Source organism: Homo sapiens, chromosome 7 (assembly GCF_000001405.40).
Source record: "Homo sapiens chromosome 7, GRCh38.p14 Primary Assembly".
NCBI classification, from domain to species: domain Eukaryota; kingdom Metazoa; phylum Chordata; class Mammalia; order Primates; family Hominidae; genus Homo; species Homo sapiens.
The window spans coordinates 98651583-98660147 of NC_000007.14; the positions used below are offsets into that span (position 1 = coordinate 98651583).

An 8565-nucleotide genomic window follows, 5' to 3' on the forward strand; every position below is an offset into this window, starting at 1 on the left:
CATGGTAAAACCCCATCTCTACTGAAAATACAAAAATTAGCCAGGCATGGTGGCGGGTGCCTGTAATCCCAGCTACTCAGGAGGCTGAGGCAGGAGAATCACTTGAACCTGGGAGGCGGAGGTGACAGTGAGCCAAGATCACACCACTGCACTCCAGCCTGGGTGACGGAGCCAGACTCTGTCTCAAAAAAATAAAAATAAAAATCCGAGACTAAGAAAGTTTTGCCAAAGCAGATGGGGTGTCCTCGGCAAAGTTATTCATCAGAGGAGTCCTGCATGGTCCAGGAACGGGCCTCACCCAGTGTCCCCGGCACACTCCATCACGGGCTGGGAGCAGCCTGCAAGACATATGGCCTTGGCGTGAACTTGGTGATGAATTTCAGAACAGGCAGCTGGGGCTGTGGGCCAGTCACCCTCTCTGCAGTGGGAAGTCTAACAGGCATGTGTTCATGGCCACCCTGGTGTGGATACAGACTGCTGACCCTGAAAAAGAATCCAGTTGCCTTGGCAGAGATATTTTTGTAAATAACTTTTTTTTTTTTTTTTTTTGAGACAGAGTCTCTCTCTTATTGCCCAGGCTGGAGTGCAATGGAGCAACCTCAGCTCACTGCAACCTCCGCCTCCTGGGTTCAAGGGATTCTCCTGCCTTAGCCTCCCAAGTAGCTGGGATTACAGGAGTGCGCCAGCCCGCCCAGCTAATTTTTGTATTTTTAGTAAAGATGGGGTTTTGCCATGTTGGCCAGGCTGGTCTCGAACTCCTGACCTCAGGTGATCCGCCCACCTCAGCCTCCCAAAGTTCTGGGATTACAGGTGCCCACCACCATGTCTGGCTAACTTTTCATATTTTTAGTAGAGACGGGGTTTCACCATGTTGGCCAGGCTGGTCTTGAATGCCTGACCTCCTTCTCAATTTGTTCTAAAATCCTAGGTTTTTCATGCACAGGGTTTATCTGCATGGGGCCTCTATCGCCATGATGGCTGGTCCTGCTTTGGCGACCTCTGTGTTCAACCCAGGGCACCACCAGTAAGTAATCCTATGCAGAGTCTCTGATCATATCATTCAGGTTTCCTTTAGGTGACTTGACATATGCTATGTGCAAGTGTGAGGGTAGCCGGCACATGCTTGCCCGGCCTCCCCAACATCTTCCCCTTTCTCTCAACAATGACCTTGGGGGATCTGCACACAGACATGACCCTGACACAGATGAGTGCCCTTCCACCCTCTTAAAGTGCTCTTGCTTTGCAGAAACAGATTGCACTCTGTCTCCAGTGAGGAGGAGAGGAAGTGGCAAATGTCAGGTCCAAGCTCAAAAGTCTCCGAGATGGATCAGTGATCGCCGCACCTCTGAGATGGATCAGGGATGAACCTAGGACCCCACACAGGCCCTTGAGGTGTGAGGCAGGATCTGCCAGGTGCTGCGATTTTTAAGGATATTCTGAAATTCTTTCCCTCTGTCTCTCTGTTCACCGGCATTGACCTCACTCAGATGTGGATGTTTCAAACTCATTCAAACAGAGAGTAGAATGGTGGTTGCTAGGGGGTAGGAAGAGAAATAAATGGGGAGAATGTGGTCAAAGGGTAGAAGTTTTCAATACTGCAAGACAAACAAGTTCCAGAGAGCTCAGTCTGTGCAACATAGGGAGACCCCCATCTCTACAAATAATTTACAAATTAGCCAGGCATGGTGGCGCATACCTGTGGTCCCAGCTACTTGGGAGGCTGAGGCAGGAGGATTGTTTGAGCCTGGGGGTTTGAGGCTGCAGTGAACTATGATTGCACCATTGCACTCCAGCCTGGGTGACAGAACAAGATCCTGTCTCAGAAATTTTAAAAAGCTCCAGAGAGCTAATGTACAGCATGGTAACATTAGTTAATACTCTGTATTGTATGCCTGAAATTCACTAAGATGTAGATCTCAAGTGTTCCAACCACAAAAAGGAAAAAAAAAAGGCAGTAACAGGGAGTGTCGATGGCTTTGTTAATTAGCTTGATGCTGGTGATCATCCCACAATACATACGTATATCAAAATGTCAAGTTGTACTCCTTGAATATATGCAAGTTTTGTCAATTATACCTCAAGAAAGCGGGAAGAAAAAAGCACATGCAGCAGGTGGGTTCTCTGGATGCAGGTGCTAATATGGAGTCTGGGGAACAAGGGACTCATTAGGAAGCAACAGCTGTGAAAAGGAGGAGGAGAAAGCAGGGCTGAGCTGAAGGAAAAGAGGAGCTGTAACCACAGGCCCAACAAAGCTTCGGCTGACCTGGAGGGACCCTGGAGAGAGGATGGCCTGTCAGAGTGCACCATAGCCAGACCTCTCTAGCCTGGTTCAATCACCAGATGCAGGAAGTTTGAAGTGTATGACCTTGGGAAGGCATAGGACTTTACCCTGGATTGAGAACATCCGGTCAAAATCAGCCTTGGAGCTCTCACTCAGTGTGTGGGAACAAAAATCATCTCACTCCTCTTCTGGACTTTGTGGGTACTGGTGTAGGGCCTGGAGCAGCTGCAGCCATACGAGGGGAACAGATTGAGGCAAACAATTCCCCACTCCCACCACCAACTCCCACCAAACCCAACCCACCTGCTACACATACCAGGTACAAATGCCAGAAAACCCACTGCCAACTGGTACAAGCAGGAAGGAGGATTTCTTGACTTACGAATCTGGAAGTACTAAAAGCAGGTTGATACCAGGATGGGTTTGACTCTGCAACTTAATAATATGTATATAGTTATCTATCTATCATCTATGTATCTATCTTCTATCTATCATCTATCTATCATTATCACCTATCTATCATCTATCTGTCTATCATCTATCATCTATCCATTTATCACCTATCACCTGTTTATCATCTATCATCTATCACCTATCTATCATTTATCATCTATTGATCTATCCATCATCTATCTATCACCTATCTATCATCTATCTATGATCTATCTATGATCTATCTATCTATGATCTATCTATCATCTATCTATCTTCTATCTATCATCTATCTATCACCTATCTATCATATATCTATCTATCTATCATCTGTCATCTGTCTGTCACCTATCTATTACTTATCATCTATCTATTTATCTATCACCAATCTATCATCTATTATCTATCTATCATCTATCTATCTCTATCATCTGTCACCTATCTATCATCTATTAATCTATCAATCATTCAGTCAACTATCTATCATCTGTCTGTTTATCTGTCATCTATCTACCTATCATCTATCTATCTATGTATCTATGTATGTATGTATCTATCTATCTATCTATCTGATACAGTTTGGATTTGTGTCCCCGCCCAAATCTCATGTTGAATTGTAATCCCCAGTGTCTGGGAGGGGACTGGTGGGAGGTGATTGGATCATGGGGGTGGATTTCTCCCTTGCTGTTCTCATCATAGTGAGTTCTCAGGAGATCTGGTTGTTTAAAAGTGTATAGCACCTCCCCCTTCTCTCTCTTCCTCCTGCTCTGGCCATGTAAGACGTGCCTGCTTCCCCTTCTGCCATGATTCAAAGTTTCCTGAGGCCTCCTCAGCCATACTTCCTGTACAGCCTGCAGAACCATGAGCCAATTAAACCTCATTTCTTTATAAATTACCCACTCTCAGATAGTTCTGTATAGCAGTGTGAGAATGGACTAACACACTACCTACCTATCGATCTATCATCTTAGTAACATAGATACTAAAATGTGTAGAAAGTCACATGATGATTGTATTAGTCACATGGTGACTGTATCAGAGAAACGGAACTAATACAATATATATAGGTAGAAAGAATCACAAGTGCCAGGACCCGGGGGTGGGACATTCTCAGAGTAACTCAGGGTAGGAAAGGTCCATGAGGCAGGATAATCCAAGGTAACATGGTGAGACATGAGACAAGACAGGTCTTGGAGCTGCAGCTTCTGAGGCCTGGATGTCCTGGGTCAGGACTCAGATTTCACTCCAGGCTTGTGGAGAGCCTCTGGAGGATTGGTCAAGACAATGATCATCTGACTCAGGTTGTAACAGCAGCATCCTGGCTGCTGTGAGAAGAGAGTGTAGAGGCCCTGAAAGAAAGCAAGGAGGCCTAGGAGCCTATTCTAGTAATTCAGGAGGGAAACAGTGGGGGCTGAGTCCAGGGTGCTGGCAGTGGAGGTGGTGAGAAGGGGTTGGATTCTGGGTTTGTTCTGAAAGTGGAACTGACAGGGGTTCCCGGCAGATTGGCCGTGGGTGCAAGAGGAGGAGAGGTATGAGAATGACTCAGGGTTTGGGCCAGAGCCCGGGGGACGGCAATGCCATTTGCTGAGTTGGAGCACCAGGGAAAGGGAGTCTGAGGGACATATTGTTGTGTTTAGACGTTGGAGCTGTAGGTGTCTGTGAACACCAGGTGGAGGTGTGCACAGGTGTGCACATCAGCCTGGAGTTGGGAGAGCGGTCAGATATGGGGACAAGAACATGTCAGGGCCCAGGCATGGAAGTTGAATTTAAGCCATAAAGTCACCCAGGGAGCAGAGGGCAGGGTGCCAGGCCTGGACACTCCTGGGTTAGGGGTCAGGAGAGGAGCAGGAACCATGCAAGTGTGGCAGGTGACAGGGGGTCAGTGCAAAATAGAGTCCTGGAAAACAAGCTTCAGGAGCATTTCAGCAAGCAGGCAGATCTGATGCCACCAGCCAGCACCCGATTGTGTATCTCACACAGCTATAAAGTCCATTCTCACATTGCTATAAAGAACTACCTGATACTAGGTAATTTATAAAGCAAAGAGGGCTCACAGTTCTGCAGGCTGTACAGGAAGCATGGCTGGGGAGATCTCAGGAAACTTACAGTCATGGTAGAAGGGGAAGCAGGCACGTCTTACATGGCCAGAGCAGGAGGAAGAGAGAGAAGGGGGAGGTGCTACACACTTTTCAACAACCAGATCTCCTGAGAACTCACTATGATGAGAACAGCGGATGGGCAAGGCGGCTCACACCTGTATCCCAGCACTCTGGGAGGCTGAGGCAGGTGGATCACTTGAGGTCAGGAGTTCAACATCAGCCTGGCCCACATGGTGAAACCCTGTCTCTACTAAAAATACAAAAATTAGCTGAGTGTGGTGGCGGGAACCTGTAATCCCAGCTACTTGGGAGGGTGAGGCAAGAGAATCGCTTGAATCCAGGAGGCAGTGGTTGCGGTGAGCTGAGATGGCGCCACTGCACTCCAACCCGGGCGACAGAGCAAGACTCTGTTTCAAAAAGAAAGAGAATAGCAGGAGAGAAATCCACCTCCATGATCCAATCACCTCTCACCAGTCCCCTCCCCTGACACTGGGGACTACAATTCAAGATGATATTTGGGAAGGGACACAAATCCAAAACCATATCAGATAGATAGATAGATAGATAGATAGATAGATAGATAGATAGATAGACAGACACACGGATAGGTAGGTAGATAGATAATGGATTGATAGATGGATGGATGGATAGACGAATAGATAGATGGATAGATAGATGAATAGATAGATGGACAGATAGATAGATGATGGATAGATAGACGGATGGACAGATAGACGGACGGACAGATAGAAGATGGATAGATAGGTCGATGGATGGATAGATAGATGATGAATAGATAGATGAGTGGACGGATAGATAGGCAGATGATGAATAGATAGGTGGATGGATGGATAGATGATAGACAATAGATAGATAGATAGATAGATAGATAGATAGATAGATAGATAGATAGACAGTGCAGTGTGTGGAATAGTGTCCTTCAAATTCACGTCCACCTGGAGCTGCAGCATGAGCCCTTACCTGGAGATGGGGCATTTGCAGATGTAATTAATTAAGATGAGCTCACACTGGATTAGGATCATTAGCCCTTATCCAATGACTGGTGTCCCTGTAAAAAGAGGACGGGACACACAGAGAGACATAGACGGGAGGCCCCATGTGAAGACCGAGGCAGAGATGGGAGCCACGTATCTGCAAGCCAGGGATGGCCTGGGGCCACCAGAAGCTGGAAGAGGCAAGGAAGGGGCCTCCCCTGGGGCCTTCAGAGGGAGCGCGGCCCCACTGACATCACAATATCAGACTTCTGGCCTCCAGCACTGTGAGAGGACACATTCGTGGTGTTTTAAGCCATCTGACTTGCAGTACTCTGTCCCAGCCGCCCTAGCAAATGAACACAGACGGCTACTTAAGAGTCCCTCTCCGGTTACCCAGCCCACCCTAGAGGCCACTTTTAGCCAGAGTGTTGGGGCCTTGACCCCACACTGCCTCGTCCCCTCTGTCCTCGCCCCGACCCTGACGCATCAGAGCCGGGACACTGGTGACTTTCCTGGGGAAATCTCTAGATGTGACCTCTATGGCCGGGGACAGGGGACTGGGTTTGAGTCTTGAGTCCTTTCCAGCAAGCGCCTTCCCGCTTGGAGCCTTGTTTCCTTCCTGGATAAATGGGCGGGGAAGCATCACGGAGGTGTGCGGGTTTAATCGGCACATGCGCTGCTGCCTGCAGGCCAAGCTCAGGATAAGCTCTTGCAGTAAATAGCAACGTTTATGTCCCTCGACTCCTGGCTCAGAGACGCGACCCAGGTGGGAACTTGATTCGTGAAACCCATCAGGGAGGAAGAGTCCCGACCTATGCATTGAAGGACGGGGTGGACAGAAAGAAGGAACAGCAGTTAGAAGAGCATTGGCGGGTCCTGTAGCATCTGAGTCCCTGCTTGGACCAGCTTTCTGGGAGTAGGTGTCTGTGGGCTGCAGCCCAGCTTTGAGCACCCGAGGACGTAACACCTTACCACTCTTAGGGTTGACAGATAAAATACAGGATGCCCAGAAATATCTGAATTTCAGATACACAGCAAATTATTTTTTAGTAGAAGTATATTCCAAATATTACATAGGATAGACTTATACTGTAAACTATTTGTTTATCCAAATTCAAATTTTTAAAAATCTTTTCGAAACTAGGTCTCATTCTGTTGCCCAGGCTGGAGTGCAGTGGCACGTTCACAGCTTACTGCTGTCTGGAGCTCCTGGGCTCCTCCCGCCTCAGCCTTCCCAGTAGCTGGAACTACAGTTGCGCACCACCACACCTGGCTAATTCGTTTTTTTAAGTGGAAATGGGGGTCTCACTATATTGGGCAAGCTGGTTTCGAACTCCTGGGCTCAAGCGATTCTCCAGCCGCAGCCTTCCAAAGTGCTGGGAATACAGGCATGAGTCACTACGCCTGGCCCTGGATTCAGATTTAACTGGGTATCTTGTATTTTTATTTGCAGAATCTGGCAACCATACCCGCCCCTTAGCTGGCCCCCCTCCACTGATGACTAATGGCCAGGTGTAAGACAGTCTTCCGAAGGGGCCGTAAGACCACCATGGGCTCAAGATAGACATTGAGTCCTGCCCTCGCCCACCTCCTCCTCTCTCCACCTCCACATCTTGGTTTCTTGTCCTCCGTGTGCAAAATGTGCTTTCCTGCCCCACCTACGTCTCCACATATGAAGAATCAATAACAATTTTAGAGAGAAAATACAGTTGTCATGGAAAAAAAATGGAGTGAATTCAGAGTTCATTAGGCAAGTTAATCAAATTGTCCAGCCGTGTCTTGCTATTTCTGGGAACCATCTGGCCCGCCTGATCGATGTGATTCCAGGTGGGAAGTGTTTGGGAGTGAGGGTAACCGTGACTTCTCTGAGGTCACAGCACGGAGATGCCAGGTAACCGGATGGGAGGGCTTGGCATGTCCCTGGGAGGCACTGGGAATGCATTGTCCCATGCCTGGGCAGGGGCAGCTTTGGCTGGGACCCTCCATTGGCACACACACCCCCCTTTCTCTTAGAGCTGCACATACATAGAAAGAGGAACCAAGGCTGGGCACAGTGGCTCACACCTGTAATCCCAGCATGTTGGGAGGTTGAGGCGGGCGGATCACCTGAGGTCAGGAGCTCGAGACCAGCCTGACCAATACGGAGAAACCCCGTCTCTAATAAAAATACGAAAAATTGGCCAGGTGTCGTGGCGCATGCCTGTAATCCCAGCTATTCGAGAGGCTGAGGCAGGAGAATCGCTTGAACCTGGGAGGCGGAGGTTGCAGTGAGCCGAGATTGCACTACTGTACTCTAGCCTGGGCAACAAGATCAAAATTCCATCTCAAAAAAAAAAAAAAAAAAGGAAAAAAGAAAAGAAAGAAAGAAGAGGAACCAAGAAGCCGCCACTGGCTGAGCAAGGCCTGCTCTTTCACCAGTATTTCTAGGGCTCAGTATTTCTGGGGCTTATGCTCTGTGCCTGCTGCCGTTCCAGGTGACAGTTAATACAGATGAGTCCCTCAGCCTCCCAGGGCTCATATTTCAGCCAGAGAGAGACAATCAGCAAAGAAACAAGGACTTGCAGGAAGACCACCTTCTCCAGTTGCAGGTGGAGCCACGGGACCTGCCCAAGCTGGGCCTACTCTGTTGATAGCAAAATGTCAAGTTTTATCTTGTAGCTATAACAGCTGTAAGTCATGTAGCCAAGGCATGAATGGTAGAAAAAGCTTTGAGGCTGGGTATGGTGGTTCATGCTTGTAATCCCAACACTTTCAGAGG

The 8565-nt window shown here is 48.2% G+C and overlaps 1 long non-coding RNA gene across 3 annotated transcripts; it reads right to left on the reverse strand.

The window, feature by feature from the left end:
• Positions 1-841: 841 nt before the first annotated feature.
• On the reverse strand, positions 842-6022 carry LOC105375419 (uncharacterized). Of its 3 annotated transcripts, XR_927791.2 has the most exons (4): positions 5794-6022; positions 2598-2716; positions 2389-2506; positions 842-1534 (listed from the first exon to the last, which is right to left on the reverse strand). It is a non-coding gene; the product is annotated as an uncharacterized LOC105375419 (long non-coding RNA). The 3 variants fall into 3 exon arrangements; XR_927793.2 differs by lacking the exon at positions 2389-2506; XR_927792.2 differs by lacking the exon at positions 2389-2506 and having other exon boundaries at positions 2585-2716.
• Between the last annotated feature and the right edge of the window lie 2543 nt (positions 6023-8565).